Raw genomic sequence first — 14,822 nt, 5'->3', positions numbered from 1 at the left:
GGCGGCTTCCGATTGATGTCCCTTCTCCCCCCGCGCTCCCCCCACACCAGGCCCTGGCCCTGATCTCCCTGTAAGAGCTCTTGGTCAAGGGCGAGGACAGACGTCTTGAAACATAAACCCAGCTGGCAGCATCTTTTTTCCTCAGGGACACACACGCAGGCGCAGCTCAAAGCCTGGCCGTGTTGTCAGGCCTGCCTGCTAAGCTGGCTTCAAGGGAAAACACTCCCTGGGCAGCTGGGATGCAGACTTCGGGGAGGTGGTGCAGATCCAGGCTCTAGCTAGCCCTGGTGGGTTTTCTGCGTGACCCTGGGGAGGGCTCTCTGCCAGCTGCAGTTTCCCCATTTGTAAAATGGGAGTGGTGGGGAGGAAGGCTGAAGGTTGGGAAAGGCCTCGTGCCTGGAGGCTGGCAGCATTGGACGTGTTGAGAAGTGGTTGGATTCTGGTTCTGTTTTGAAGGGGGAGCCAACAGGATTTGTTCTCTTTTTGCATGTGGGGTGTAAGGGGAAGGAGGCCCAAGAATGACTGCCGGGGTTTTGGCTGGAGCACTGGGAAGGCTGAAGGGGCCGAATGCCGACATGGGGGTGGGGAGAGGCCTGGGGTTCAGATTTGGGCCCGTGGGGATTGTGATACAGTTTACGCTCCTAGTGGAAATACTGAGTGGCCGGGCAGATATCCGGGTCTGGAGTGCTGGGGAGCGGCCAGGGCTGGAGATCCACATTTGGGTGTCATCGCTAAGGGAGTGTGTGGGATAGAAGAGTAAAGAGGACCAAGGCCTGGGGCACTCCTGCCTTGGAGGCTGGGGAGATGAAGCTCAGAGAAGACACAGGAGACAGAAGGAACAGCCAGGGAGGCAGGAGGGAGGTCGGCGGTCCTGGCTGTTGCCAAGTGAAGACAGGGTGCCAAGGGGAACAGGATCACCGCAGGCACATCACTGTCCCTCTGAGCTTCCGTGTCACCTCCCTCATGGAGGCAGCACCAGTAACCAAGAGATGAGTAAGTGGGGTATCCCCAGTGCCTGGCCAGGGCAGGTGGCCCCGAAACAGAAGCAGTGGTTCATCACCTGGATCTTGCTGTGGCTGGGGTGTAAGAGGATGTTATAATCCAAATCTCTGCATGCACCAGAGAGACTCGGACTTAGTACCAGTGCTCTTCCCTCCCCGAGCCGGCTGAGGACTGAGACACCACCTGGAGGGGCTGGGGCAGAGCGGGGCCTTGCACAGGATTTGGAGAAGTGAAGCCACATCCTTGGGGGTGGGATGGCATGGATGACCCCTCAGGGGCTGGACCCATCCTGAGTGGGAAGAAGGGGGCCTTCTGTGGCCATCCTCGAGGCCCTGCCTGAAAGCTTGCAGTGCGGACAGCCAGAGCCACAGCGTCACCAGCTGCAAGGAACCTCAAGATAAGTCTTCTGGTGTGTTTTGCAGATGAGGAAATTCAGAGATGGGAAGGGCCTTCCTGTGGTCACAGAGCTGATAAGGGGCTGGGAACGGGGGGAGGTGGAGCCTTCCCGGGTGGGGCCCCTGCCAGCCCCTCTGTTGAAAACCCCCAGCCTCCCTGGAAGGAGCCCCTGGAATGTGCGCTCTCCAGGCCCAGGGCTTCCCTGCTTCATAGCTCTCAGCAACCTCCTAGCCCACAAAACCAATCCCCAGTCCCTAGCCTGGAACACAAGGCCTGTCCCCCAGGCGATTCTTCCAACAGCATTTCCTGCAACTCCCAGCTGCTCAGCCTGCCTGCCCTCTGGGCATCTGCTGTTCTCCCTCGCCAAGAGTGCTGTTTTCCCTGCTGGAATCCCACACAACCCTCACAGCCCTCTCCACAAAACCTTCCCCAGTGCCCTAGGTGGAAGGGATCTCCCCCTCTTCAGGCACCCCACAACCCTCTGAACATTTAAAGCAGCCATCACCCTCCTTCTCAAGCTGCCAGCCAATGCCCTCTTCTGCAAAAGCCAGGTAAATGGCTCCCTCCTCCAGGAAGCCCTCCCCAACTACCCTCAGCCTGGGTCAGGGGCCTCCTCTGGGTTTCCACAGCCTCTGTGCTCCCTGCAATGTTTCATGGAACCAAGGTGTTGTGGAGGCCTATGTTGTGTCATATCATCTGTCTTCCCCACCTGTCTGGGGCCTTTTCATGGGCTGGGACCAGCCATATGCACCAATGGGCCCTGGGATCTGGGGGGCAGCACAACAGGGCTGGGTATAAAACATACCTCCAAAATGTTGGATTTGGGAGTGTCCTTTGGACCTCTGTCAGGACAAGTAAATGGGGAAACCAGACCAAGGACCCAGAATGGCTCTCAGAAAGGGTGGCCACATGATATAACTGCTACCATTTATTGTGCACCTGCTGTGTGACCTTCTAAACACAGTGGCCCAAGTCATCACAGCAGCCCTCCGAAGTGAGTATTGTTACCATTGACAGAGGAGGAAACTGAGGCTCTGCAAGAAAAGGCGGCTCGCTCCAGACCTCAGGAAAACTCCCAGCACAGCAGGGCTCTGAGCGCAGGTGCGTTCCTGCTCACATGTCCGCACTCCCAGCAGGCTCGGGGGAGCTGCATGGAGAGCTGAAGACCGTTTCCTGGGCTGAGCTGGAGGGCTGGGAGGGGAGTCCTCAAGCTCAGGACAGGAGACCCTGGGGGGGGGTCCCTGACTCAGCGGGCTACTGGCCCGTCCCCACATCTGTGACAAAGCACTTAACCTTTCTGGCTGGCCAGGAGCTGGACAACCGAAGGGCAGTGGGAGCTGGTCCCGGTGCTTCCCCTCACCCCCAGGTCAAGGCTCTAAGAATGCAACCAGGCTGAGCCCCACTCCGGGGAGGTGGATGCTGGGGCCTCTGCCAGGTGCATCACAGGGGTGTGGAGGCTCCCAGGACCTCGGAGCTCTGGTAGCTCAGGATCTCATTGTGTTCAGAGATTTGGAAACGTGAGATCTTGGTACTCAGGAATTGTGGAGTAGAAACCCCAAACCACTGCCTTGCCAGCCCTGTAGAGGCCCCCAGGCCAATGGCCAACCCAAAGGATTTTGAAGGCTGCATACTGATCTGAGGGTGTCAGAATTCTTGTCCCCAGCAGATTTCCCTTCCCAGGACTTGCTCCATCTCCCTCCTGTGTAAGGGGCAGCAGTCACAGACAGGGCTGTGTGAGGCTTGGAGAGCCCCCGAAAGATGGAGACTCCCCAGTGATGACAGCACCAGCCGCTCTGAGGCGGCTCTGAACCAAGTGTGGGAGGCTGGCTGGAGACCTGGGAGAGACAGGGTCTGAGGAGGGAGACAAGAAGGCGGCAGAGAGGAAACAGGAACTCCTGAAAAGAGGGAGAGATTAGTTTGGTGGGAAAGGGGAGAGTGGACAGATAAGACCCCGTGAGGAGGCCAGGCCAGGCCAGAGGAACAACCAAGGGGCCCAAGCCCAGCCCTGAGCAAGCCACTGGTCTGTGGTTCCTGAGGCTGTGGAGACCAGCCACTGGGTTACACAAACCAGGCCCCAGCATGATGCAGTCTCCAGTCCGGAACCCCAGACCCAGAGAGGCTGGACGGGGTAAGGGGAGTTTAGGGCTAGGAGGTAGGAATCCTGCATCTTTTCTAGCTTCTTGCTGTGTGACTCTAGGCAACCACTGGCCCTCTCTGGGCCTCTTCGGCAGTTGTTTTGTCCAATTCTTACACCCAATCTAAGGGATATGACCCAGTATCTCTGTTTTATTGATGAGGAAACTAAGGCTCAGAGAGGGAAGTGACTGGCCCAATGTTAGAGAATAATTAGTGGAGGAGCTGAGATTCAAACCTCGGACTGCTTGGCTCCAACTGTTGGGCTTGTCTCAGCCTCCACAACATGCATCCCAGGGATGAAGGTGGTCTGTGACTGAGTGGGGGTTTTGACTGGGAGCCGCTGGAGGGCATTGCAAGAGAGGAACAGGGAACAATTCAAGACTGAGCAGTTCCTGACATCTGTTGCAGGGCCTGGGAAGCGCAGTCCAGGCGCAGGTGCCAGGAAGGAGCTGCCCATCAGGATCAGGCCACAGCTCAACTAACACGTTCCCGCCCTGCCCTCCTCAGGTGAGCTGCTCAGCATCGCCTGTGTGCCTGGCCGCCCAGGCCTCACCTGTGTGTGTGTTGGCGCGAGGGACGGGGGAGCACATGAAGCTCAGGTGTCCTCTTCAGTGGGCCCACAACTCTTAGTTATTATAGCAGAGAAGACAGGAGGCCGAAGACAGGCAGAGCCCTGGGGCTTTGGGGATTTGGAGAGGGAAGGCCTACTCCTTTCTGGGTACTGGGAGTAAGGAGTGGGAAATCAGGAAGATTTCATGGAAGAGGTGCCATTTGCATTGGGTCTGGAAAGTGGGGCAGGATTTTAAGAGATGGAGAAGAAGGTGATGTGGAGGGGTCTGTGTGAGAACAGCCATGGCAGCAAAGTATGCTCAGAGGAGGCCAAGAGGTGGGTATGGCTGGAGCTCAGGGGCCTGTGGGCACCAGGGCAGCAAGGATCCAAGCCAGGCTGCCTTGGGTCCTGCCAGGTATCCAAGACCACCCCCAACAGGGCACTAGCAGCCGACTGGTCTGACCGCCGCCTGCCCGCCAGGCCACCCGCCCGCCCGCAGAGCTGGCTGGCTCCAGGCAGAGCAATTTAACAGCCGCACGTTTAATGGTCCCTTTGCTCCCATATACCAAATCAATATCCGCTCTGCTCCCCAGGCTTGTGGCTGCTGAAGACAGTCTCCTTACCGGCCCCTTGGTCCACATTGTCTTACCTGCTGGGCGCCAGCAGAGGGGCTGGAGCGCTGGGGCAGGGAGCCCGGGGTGGGTGATGGGGGAGGAGCAAGAGGAGGACGTGGCTGATCAGGACAATCATCCCAGACACCCCCATTCAGGCTGGCAGGTGAAGGCAAGAGCTTGCCAGAGGCCCAGCCTCCAGTGCGCCTGGGCACAGATGCCGTTCAAATCGGAGTATTTATTTTATGTCTCCACTGTCTGCGCATCCACAAAAGCATGCGGTCCTCAAGAAGGTGGTGGAGTAGGAGGCTGCCTGAGGGCTGCAGGGACAATAGCCCGTTAGATGTCATTACCTCGGAGCCTCCTTCACACTCAAGATTCCCAGAGTCCATTTTTCCTAGAGTCTGGTCCTCCATTCCGAACCATTCCACGGCCCTGCGATCTCAGGACACTGGACTCGAGACACTACGAGTCCATCATGCCTAGTACTTGAAGACTCCAGAACTGTCTGCCATGGCTTTCTGCACCTGAAGTGCAAGATTTCTCTTTTCTTGCATCTACACCATCCTTGCCTCCCCACGTCCCCTCCCCCGGAGGTTGCCCTCTCTTCCAGTCCCATCTGACCCAAGGCAGAGTGGGAGCAGCAGGCAGGAGGCCACTGCAGGCAGACCCTGGCTCTCTTCAGCCCTGGCCTTTCCCTAGACATCCCAGGTGAGAGATGGGTAACCGGGGCACCCTCTGATCCAAAGCCAGCTCCTGGGGCCTGGCTCTTCATCCTGGATGGTCTTCCTGCAGGCCTGTGATGGGGCTCCGTGCTCCAGGTGACATCTGGGTCGGTTTGGAGGCTGTTCCCTCCTGGCAGTTGCTGTCCTTCCCTCCTGCTGTCTTGCTGGGTGGACCTGCAAGCCCCTGGGGGCTTCTCTCGCAGCAAACAGAGACTCCATCGGCACCAGGGGCTGATCCAGATTCTCCGGAATGATGATCAACACTTCCTGTGTAGGCCAAAGCCCAGGCATGGTGTAAAATCCATTTAGGAGCAAAGAAAAACAGACCCCACCACCTCCTGCACATACACAGCGTACCTCCCATGCCAACACCCCCACACCCACCCACCCCACCCTCTCTCTCTCTCCAGAACACACATGAAATGCAGGAACTCTGCGGGAGGCTGTCCTGGGTAGCAGGCAGGAGCACGGCCTGTCAGAGCCACACAGACAGGGTTTTAACCCTGCACTGCCCCTTCCAAGCTGAGTCACCCTGAACACATCACAGCACCCCCAATTCCCTTTCCTTGGCTGTAAAATGAGGGTGAACACAGCTTGTCCTGACACTCGGGAGAGGTCAAGTGTGTAAAGTCTCCAGCACCCTGCCTGGCTGACCAGGCCCAGCCAGAGCTAGGTGGGTTGTGCCTGTTATACAACCTGCCATTCCTTCCCCAAAGCTCCCCTGAACTTGGGCTCCATGCCCTGCCCTGTGCTGCAGGCTGGGGACACAGGTAAGCCAGCTCCAGCTCCTAGACTACACACCTGCTGTGGGTGAGGGACAGGTAACCTGGGCACCCTCTGATCCAAGAGCACCAAGGAGAGATGACTCTGCTGCGGGAGGGGCTGGGGAGGACCATGTGTTACAGGCACAGGCCTGACTGTGGCTCCTGGTTCTGCCCTTGCTGGCCGTGAGTTACTTCAGCTTTCTGAGTCCCTGTTTGCTCATCTGTGAAGCAGGATGAATGGCAGGACCCACCTCTTTGTCTTGTTGTAAGGCTCAAAGTAGGTAATGCACATCAAGCACTCAGCAGATAGATAGTAAGAGTTATCCACTGGTAGCCACTGTGATTAAAGAATAATTCAGTGACACAGTCAGTCAACAAACCTCCACCGAGACAGCCTCTGCAGATGCTGGGGTGTAAGAGCTGAGGCTAAATGGCTCCAGCCCTCAGGGCCCCAAAGCCCCAAGAGTCTGGGTAAGAGACTGTAATTGAGGGGTGAGCAAAGTGGGCTGGGGGCCCAGGGCCAGGGGCAAGGGGATAGAGTCAGGGTAGCCCTCCCAGGGAAGGCCCCATGGGTGCTGCAGCTGGATACAGAAGGAGGAAGAGCAGTGCCTGGCTGGACTGGAGGGGGACACCGAGGCAGAGGACAGTGTGGCCAAGGTCGGGGTGAGGAGAGCAAGGGCTCTTCAGGAGACACACTCGCAGGGGCCTTCCGGTTTCTGGAAAAGCCCAGCTCTGTGGGATCCCAGGGGACCTGCACAGGAGGGCTCTGCAGGGGTGAAGCGCAGCCCTGCCCTCACACAGGGCTCCTCTGAAGGCCGGAATGGAGCGCGAGCAGAGGGAGGCTTTGCCCTTCCTGACGAAGCCCTGCAGCCCTGCAGCCCTTCTCCCAGGAGACTGTGGGCCTCTGAGAGGGCCCGGCCCCACCATCGAGTCCCCCAGCCCCTTACAGCACCCTACCCGTACCTCGTGTGGTCCTGGGACTGCAGATGCTGGTGGACCAGGGCCTGCGAGGACACCATCTGTTCCTGCTGTCCCCCAAAAACCCGACCCAGGCCTGGTCCACAGACACAGCAGAAGCCCAAGGCAGCAAGGGCCCATACCAGAGGGGCTGGTGGACCCCCAGGCCCGAGGCTGGGGCTCAGGTCCAGGCTCTAGGTGGGACATGTGTGCCTCTTGAAGGATGCTGCTCACTGGTGAGTGGTGGGCCCCCAGACCCCATCTTTCCCCAGGCTAACCCCGACTTACAGACAAGGGAACTGGGACAAGAAGCCTGCTCCTGATGGGTGCTGGCTCCCAGTGGTTCCGACTTCAGAGGCCCGCAGAGATGCCTGGCCCTGTGCTGAAGGCCTTCCTGCCCTCTCACGACATCCATGTTTCCTGAGCACCTCTTGTGTGCTGGGGGCTGCCCTTGGTGCAAGGGTGCACTGGGGGGTCTCACTCAGAGCTCTCCAGGCCCTGGTCCCATGGAAGGGTTGCAGCACGCGTTGCAAAGGCCACAGCCCCACACCTCTGCCTGGGGACCTGGCTCCCTGCAAGGGCCTGGCTGCTGGAGGCAGGACGGCTGATCTCTGGAAGGAGCTTGCAAAGGGGCACTACTGGAAGGCACCTTGATTAAGAAACATTCACAGCAGCAGCCCCAGACTCACCTGCCTGGGATTATGGAAGCCTCGCCCTTGGCCTGCAGCTGAGCCCCTGCTGTGGTAACAAGCACACAACCAGCCCTTACTGAGAACTTCCGAGGCCCTACGCACAGGGCACACACGGCTCCTGCTGGCATAGCCACTCACATATCCTGTGAGTAGGACGTGGCATCATTACTACTGAAGAAACAGGTACTGTGGGTGACTCCGGAGCCAGACCAGGCCCAGCTCTACCATTTAATCCCTGGGTGACCGGTGCCTTTGTTTTTTCATCTTTAAAATAGGGACCAGGCCAGTCCTCCCTTCTCTGGGATGTTGAGAGAAGCAGGTAAGGTTAAGGGCTTGGGATGGCCTGTGGCAGAGTCGAGGTCTTGTAAATGATCAGCATGAAGATCCTGATGCCAGGATTTGGCACCTGGGCTCCTCTTCAGGCACTGCTCTGCCTACCCTCGTGGCTGGTCCCATCAGGCTGTTTCCATGGGACCCCCACTGCCTGGGGAGCTGGAGGCCTGGCCTCCTGTGATAGCCCCTGCCATGATGCTAGGCACAGACCAGGTGCTTACAAATGGCCGCAGTGTGTATTATGTTGGGGAGGAGGGAGAATTAGTGGCATTTGAGGGTGCTTCCATGTAAGCCTGACGCCACCACTCCAAGGCCTCCCATCTCCCTAGGGCATCCATCCTTGTCGTTGCTGGGTCCTCCCACCTCTCAGCTCGAGAGGGATTGTCCCATTTTACAGGTCCCCTTCGCCTCTGCTCACTAAGGGCTGGAGGCTCAGGGAAGCCTCAGTCACTGGAGAGAGAACCAGAAAGACCTTGGAAGTCAGCTTCTCCAACTCTCCTGGCCTCAACCCCACTCTACAGATGGGGAAACTAAGGCCCAGAGGGGCAGGGCTGCCCCCAGTCCCGCTGTGTGTCAGAGGCAGATTCCCTGGCTGTGCTCCGGCCTCCGAGGGGCTGGGGGGCTGTGGGGTCTGGGCCGAGCAGGGCCTGTTGTAATCAATCCCGCCACCCTCGCCTGCTTTGCCCTCTGAAGCATGGTCTTCCCCTCTCCCTACCAGAGAGGGGCCTGGGTCCTGGCAAGCTGGGGGAGGAGCAACACAAATATTTAGTCTGTGTGGAAGGGAGCAAAGCTCAGATCTTGGCCCAGTGGCCCTGCCTCAGGCCCTGTGCCAGGAGCCACATCACAGAGGACCATGAGCCCCCCAGTGTCCTAGGGCCCCCATCACAAATGATTTTTTGCACAAACCTGTTATGGTGCCAGAAATTCCACCATTTATAATTCCTTGGGGGTGAGACATCATATCTTCCCACTAGGCTCCCTTTTCCAATAATAATAATAACAATAATAGCAACATGTGCATGTCCAGGGGTGTACAGTTAACCCAGGACTTTCCCATCCCCCACCCTCATAACAGCTCGGTAAGGCAGGTACTGTTTTAGCTATTTTGGACGGGAAACCAGGACTCAGAGGGGTGGTGGGACTTGCCCAGGGTCACAGAGAGCAGTAGGCGACTAGACTCAGGTCCAGGTCTGACTGCAGAGTCCTGGTCTCAATCTTGGTCCCCCTAGGCAATGGCAGCTTGAGGTGGTGGTGCCTTTGGGTTCCTGGAGGAGGGAGCCATCCTCGGCCGCAGGCCTGCAAGGGGCCCCCTCCTGGGTTGGGGCAGGGACCAGTTGTATCCCAGGTTCCTCGCCTTTTCCTCTACAGCCAGACATCTCTCCAGTCTCAAACCTGGCGGAAGTTTGACACCACAGGGATCTGATTCCTGCTGAGGGCCTCAGATTTAACCTCCTCTCCTCATCCCCCAGTCCTGAGCCCCTCTGGGTTCCTATCTCCATGAATGGGAAGTGCTATCGTTCCCCACCTGCTTTAGCGTCTCCCCCCTGCCCCCGCATTATGCAAATCCTCAGGCCCCACCCCAGACCTACCGAATTGGAAACTCTGGGGAGCAGGCTGGAGACTGAGTGGCACTGCTGGAGCACAGGCCCCGGCCTCGCCACCCTCCTGCCCGACACCCTCTGTGGCTCCCCACTACCTGCAGGATCAAGCCTAGCTCCAGGCTGGCATGGAGCCCCCCGGTCTGGCCACCAACCTGCTCTGGACTCTCCCCTCCTAGCCTGCTCCTCTCTGCACCCAAGCGCCCTGCACTCCTTCCCAGCCACCGCCCTGTAGCCCACACTCCCCACGTGGCTGTCTTCTTGCGTGTCTCCATCCCTCCTGCCTGTCCCTGGGCAGCCTGGAAACGTCGATGATCCTTCACCACCGTCTGTGGCAAGTCCTCCCTGACTTCTCCAGGCAGAGGCCCCAAATTAGTACCCACGGCACCCTGGGCTCCCTCTGGGACAGCTCTAGTCACCCTGTGTGGTCCTGCTTGTTTCAGTTTCATACAAGGGCTGGCCCAGGGAAGGCCTCAGTAAATGCTGAGATGGAAAGAACAAGAGAGTCTGGCTGCAGAGACAAGGGGCTACATCTTCTAAACTGAGCCCAGCTGGTTTAGATCATCTCTGGGTCCTCCCACCCCTGCTTCACTGTGGGCCTTCCTGCCCCGTGGGCTTCTGTTTCTCCATGTGGCCGGAGGGGGCAGAGGCAGCCCCTTGCTGCAGCTCAGGGGCCCCTGGGTCAAGGTCACAGTGCCCTTCACTCCAGGGCTCCCGTTCTGTCCACTTGCCTCTCCCACCACCACCCCAGGAATGGTGACCCCAGCACCTGCTTAAGTCCCTCAGGCCCCACCCCAGACCTACCGAATTGGAAACTCTGGGGAGCAGGCTAGAGACTGAGCGGCACTGCTGGAGCACAGGCCCCGGCCTCACCACCCTCCTGCCCGACACCCTCTGTGGCTCCCCACTGCCTGCAGGATCAAGCCTAGCTCCAGGTGTGCCCTACACCCCCAGCCCCATGGTCCATTTTATGGGGTGGAAAATGAGGCTGGGGTAACAGCTGAATCTGCGGGGGGTCCAAGTCACCCCTCACTGGGCTGGCTGGGAGGAGGGGAGCCAGCTCCTCACCAGCATCTGGTGCTCACAGGGGCCGGGTCGACCTGGGGGGGATCCTGGGAAACAGGCGCACTCCTGAGCCCCTCTGCACCTCTGTCTCCTCTCCTCTCACATGGCCATAGCCAAGCACACCTTGTGGGTGAGGGGCAGATGAGACACCAGACGTGAAGTGACAGCAGGGCCGTCTGTCTTCTCCACCAGCACCCCAGACTGTGATCCGCTCTGTGCCAGGGTGCTGGAGACAGCAGATGCCCTCCCAGCCAAGGGGCCCGTTCTCCCCAACATTACCGGTGTTCCAGTTGCTCCTTTCTGCTCTGTCTGCAAAGAGGTTCAACACCCCCCAACCCCCGGTGTGATCTGAGGGCTCTAGGAACCCCTCCTGCACCCAGGCTTGAGGGTCCTTCCCTGGGACTCCACCCTCACAGCTGCTCCCACTGGAGCCAGGCTCTTGCCTGGAAGAACTGCGGGTTCCCTGGGAGACTCCCCAGAGCCCCTCCTTAGTGGACCCAGGCCCACCCTGCTCTTCCCAGCTGCCCCTGGTCTGTGCACACGGCCAGGCCTGACCCTGATCGCTCCCTGTGAGGTCCCACTCTCCTCCAACCTCTCACCTGCGGTGTGGCCATCCAGATGGTCCACAGGCGGGAGGGGCCAAGCCAGGGGGGGCAGGGAGATTCTTGAAGGGGCTCATTTCCTCTGGGATTTCAGTGGTCACCTGCCTGACCACATGACCTCTGTCATCCTTTCTGGTCTTGAAGATGAACTGCTGGGCTGGAGGGTTCGTGCCTAATTTTCCCAAATCACTTGAGGTATGTGTGGCTGAACTACTGGATGAATAATGCATGGATAAACATGGATGGGTAGGTGGATGAACACACTGACGCAGGGAAAAATTAATGCTTCCATGTATGGATGGGTGGATGAATGGATGGATAGATGAATGGTTGGATAGATGGATGGATGGATGGATGGATGGATGGATGGATGGATGGATGGATGAATGGATGGACGGATGGTTAGATGGATGGATGGACAGATGGACAGCCTGACAGATGGACGGATGAATGGAGGAATGGGTGGATGGATGGATGAGTGGATGGCTCCAGGAGTCTCCTGCACAGATTCCCTTCGCCCAGACCAAGGGTGCTTGTTCATCACCCCATCCCCTCACTTCCCCTCCTTCAGCCCTGGGCACACCACCATGGCTACCACTTTCCTCAGCCTTCAAGATAGACGGTCCTCAGTTTGAATCGGAGAAACTCCCCTTACTAGCTGCGTGGCCTTGTCCAGTGACTTCACATCTCTAAGTCCACATCTTGCTGATACATCCACAGTAACACAGGACCCATCGCCAAAGTGTACAGTGATGGACAAATGATGGTTCTAGAACAGCCCTTGACTCTCAGAGTCTCCTTCAGTGCCTTCCCCTCTTCCCTCTCTACCAGCTAAACCACTTGATAAATTACACTTAGAATTTAGCATTGGGGTGGCAGGCGGGGCTCTGGGGAAGGGTTTCCTAAAGAGCTGGCATGCCTTCTTCCGTCAGACAATGCCAAGTATGTGATGCATCATTATTTCTTTTATTGCTGTGCTTTCCAGGAAGTTCAGAGCTAAACTTCATCTTAATCACAGCCATTACACAGGTGACTGTGTGGTGGTCGAGCCACTTCCTGCTCTTTCTAGGAGTATTATTTAAGACCGCTGTAGCATCCTTTCTTTTAAGCGACCCATAATCTTTTAAAAATTACATGGGGAATACATTGTAGTTTTCGGCCCTGCCTGCCATAGCCAGCTGTCTGCTGTGTAGCCCCAACCTGGCGTGTACCCCCTCCGGGCCTGCTCTGTCTCCTCTTCACCAGCCCAGCCTCCACCTTCCTGTGTCCACTCGGGCCATGCCTGTCCTCAGGCGCTTGGCTACGCCCAGACTAGAGAGCATTTCCTGCACCTGGTAGATACCAAACCCCCGTCCAGGTGCCACTCCCCCTGGACAATCCCTGGCTTTGCCACTCACACATTCCCTTTCTGAAGTCCCAATGCCTCTCCCTTCTTCTTGCCTATCTACACGTTTCTGGGACATCTACTTTGTTCTAGGCTCTGTTCTAGGGATTCCGCAGTAAATAAATGAGATAAAATCCTCTGCCCCCCCCGGAAATGAAACTCTATTTGAGAAGAATAATAACAAATAAGTAACACTTGGGACTTTTTTTTTAATCAAGTGGTGGCCAATATTAAGGAAAAACTTAATAAAAACAGCCTTAACAGGGTAGAGAGTACTGGTCGGAAGGATTCTAGTCTATTTCAGTGGTCCAGGAAGACCTCGCAATGCAGATGGCGGCTCTTGTAAACCCCAGAGCCATGGGGGCCGGAGATGATGTCAGTGAGGGACGAGGGTCAGACTGAGGGAGCGTGGGAGCCACTGCAGGTTTGGAGCAGGGGTGCAACCTGTTTTGTGCCAGGCTCTGCGCTAGGGGCTTGACGGCCAACTTCTCACTTGATCCTTCTGGCAAGTCTGTGATTTGGGGCTGGCTTTCAGACCCCGATTTCAGAGGCAGAAGAGGCCCAGAGAAGGAAGGAGCCTGCTGGAGGTCATGAAGCAGCTCGGCCCTTTCCCTCTCTCCCGATCTGTGACAGGTTGGCAGCTGGCAAGGCTTATTTTCCTCAGCCTCTTCTCTCAGCATCTGCCCATAAATCACTCTGACACACAACGAGGGGGGCACGGACGGATTCCACATCACCTCCGTGGGTGAGCGGTTCCCAGGCCCTGCACTCCGGTGAGCCTGTGGTTCTTGGCTCTGGATGCTGGCTGCCCAGCCCAGGGCTCCAAATGCCGGGCTCAGACACCAGGGGAGTCGTGCTTTCCCTGGGCCAAGAAGGGGTTCAGGAGAAAGGGGAGGACCCCCCACCCCCGCCGCCACCCAGGCCAGAGGATCTGGCTACCAGATGAAGGGTTGGGAGAACACAAATCGGCTGCTCAAAGATCTGGGCGAGACCTGGGTCTGACCACGGGTGGGTACAGAGGGCATGCTGTGGCCAGAGGCTCCAGGGGAGAGAGGAGGCCCTCCCTTACTCTGAAGGCTCTGGTGATGCCAGAAGCATCTGGGATTGTTTTGGAGCTGGCACGGGAGCAGAGGCAGGCACAAGACAGGGGTGCTTGAGAGGGAAGATCCCCTTCAACCCCGACTGCCTCCCACCCAACCACCCCGACCGGTAGGGCGCCAGCACAGGCACCACCAAATGCTTTCACCGGGAAGCGGGCTGGGGGCCTTTTGGCCTCGTGACTTCGCAGGGCCCCCTGGAGAAATGGCTGTTCTCTGGACAAACCTCAGGGATTTGGGGAGCACCTGTCCTGTGTGGGGCTCTGAGCGGTGTGGGGCAGCGTCACGACATGGCACCCTGGCCTCGAGGAGCTGCTGGTCTGGAGTGCAACCCACTTCTCACCCTGGCATTCGAGGTCTGGCCCCTCTCCTCCTCTTCCTCTTCCTCCTCCCACTGCCACCCCCCACGCCTTGTTTTCCACACCTGCCTTGGGCATGGAAGCCACTCCCTTCGCTTAGGCCGACTCCTCTTCAGAATGGATTGAATCCCCTGTCCTGGCTTGTCTGTGGGCACCCACCCACATCATACCTCATTTCCAGGTCATGCCACACCATGGGAGGCAGTGCAGGATGGGGATTGGGGGTAGGGAGGAATCATGGCTTTGGGGTCAGAGGGGCCTACTGACCATCTGGCCCTGCCACCTACCAGATGACTTCCTGGGTATGTCTCTGTCTCGAAGCTTCTCTGAGTCAAGACTGAGACGGGGATACTGGTTGCCACATCTTGTGCCTCCATTTAGGGTGATTATATGAGAATGCCTGTGAGGGTTCAGCACAGGACCTGGCACCACTGGCGGTCAGCGCAGTGTCAGTGGGTCCAGCCCAAGTGTGCAGGCCCTGACAACCACCCCCTGCAGAACCTCCCGCCTGCCATCCCCACTGCCAGGGTGGGACGCCTGAGGAGGGGCCC

At 58.0% G+C, this 14,822-nt stretch overlaps 6 annotated features.

Annotated features, from left to right (window-relative positions):
* Nucleotides 425-1,205: an enhancer, noted in NCBI's record as "H3K4me1 hESC enhancer chr11:75896164-75896944 (GRCh37/hg19 assembly coordinates)". NCBI's record gives its function as "activates a minimal SCP1, AML or CMV promoter by ChIP-STARR-seq in naive H9 embryonic stem cells {active_cell/tissue: H9 hESC(naive)}" and the evidence as "EXISTENCE:reporter gene assay evidence [ECO:0000049][PMID:30033119]".
* Nucleotides 1,206-1,987: an enhancer, noted in NCBI's record as "H3K4me1 hESC enhancer chr11:75895382-75896163 (GRCh37/hg19 assembly coordinates)". NCBI's record gives its function as "activates a minimal SCP1, AML or CMV promoter by ChIP-STARR-seq in primed H9 embryonic stem cells {active_cell/tissue: H9 hESC(primed)}" and the evidence as "EXISTENCE:reporter gene assay evidence [ECO:0000049][PMID:30033119]".
* Nucleotides 1,359-1,548: a silencer, noted in NCBI's record as "fragment chr11:75895821-75896010 (GRCh37/hg19 assembly coordinates)". NCBI's record gives its function as "represses an EF-1alpha promoter that drives an FKBP-Casp9 reporter gene in an ReSE screen in phorbol 12-myristate 13-acetate-treated (for megakaryocytic differentiation) K562 erythroleukemia cells {active_cell/tissue: K562(+PMA)}" and the evidence as "EXISTENCE:reporter gene assay evidence [ECO:0000049][PMID:32094911]".
* Nucleotides 8,726-9,020: an enhancer, noted in NCBI's record as "tiled region #10154; HepG2 Activating DNase matched - State 5:Enh". NCBI's record gives its function as "activates a minimal TATA promoter and a strong SV40 promoter by Sharpr-MPRA in HepG2 cells {active_cell/tissue: HepG2}" and the evidence as "EXISTENCE:reporter gene assay evidence [ECO:0000049][PMID:27701403]".
* Nucleotides 9,074-9,816: an enhancer, noted in NCBI's record as "H3K27ac-H3K4me1 hESC enhancer chr11:75887553-75888295 (GRCh37/hg19 assembly coordinates)". NCBI's record gives its function as "activates a minimal SCP1, AML or CMV promoter by ChIP-STARR-seq in naive H9 embryonic stem cells {active_cell/tissue: H9 hESC(naive)}" and the evidence as "EXISTENCE:reporter gene assay evidence [ECO:0000049][PMID:30033119]".
* Nucleotides 9,817-10,558: an enhancer, noted in NCBI's record as "H3K27ac-H3K4me1 hESC enhancer chr11:75886811-75887552 (GRCh37/hg19 assembly coordinates)". NCBI's record gives its function as "activates a minimal SCP1, AML or CMV promoter by ChIP-STARR-seq in naive H9 embryonic stem cells {active_cell/tissue: H9 hESC(naive)}" and the evidence as "EXISTENCE:reporter gene assay evidence [ECO:0000049][PMID:30033119]".

This window comes from Homo sapiens, chromosome 11 (genome assembly GCF_000001405.40).
Source record: "Homo sapiens chromosome 11, GRCh38.p14 Primary Assembly".
Lineage (NCBI taxonomy): Eukaryota > Metazoa > Chordata > Mammalia > Primates > Hominidae > Homo > Homo sapiens.
Note: the sequence above shows the minus strand (reverse complement) of the source record. Positions and strands in the feature narration are given on the sequence as shown.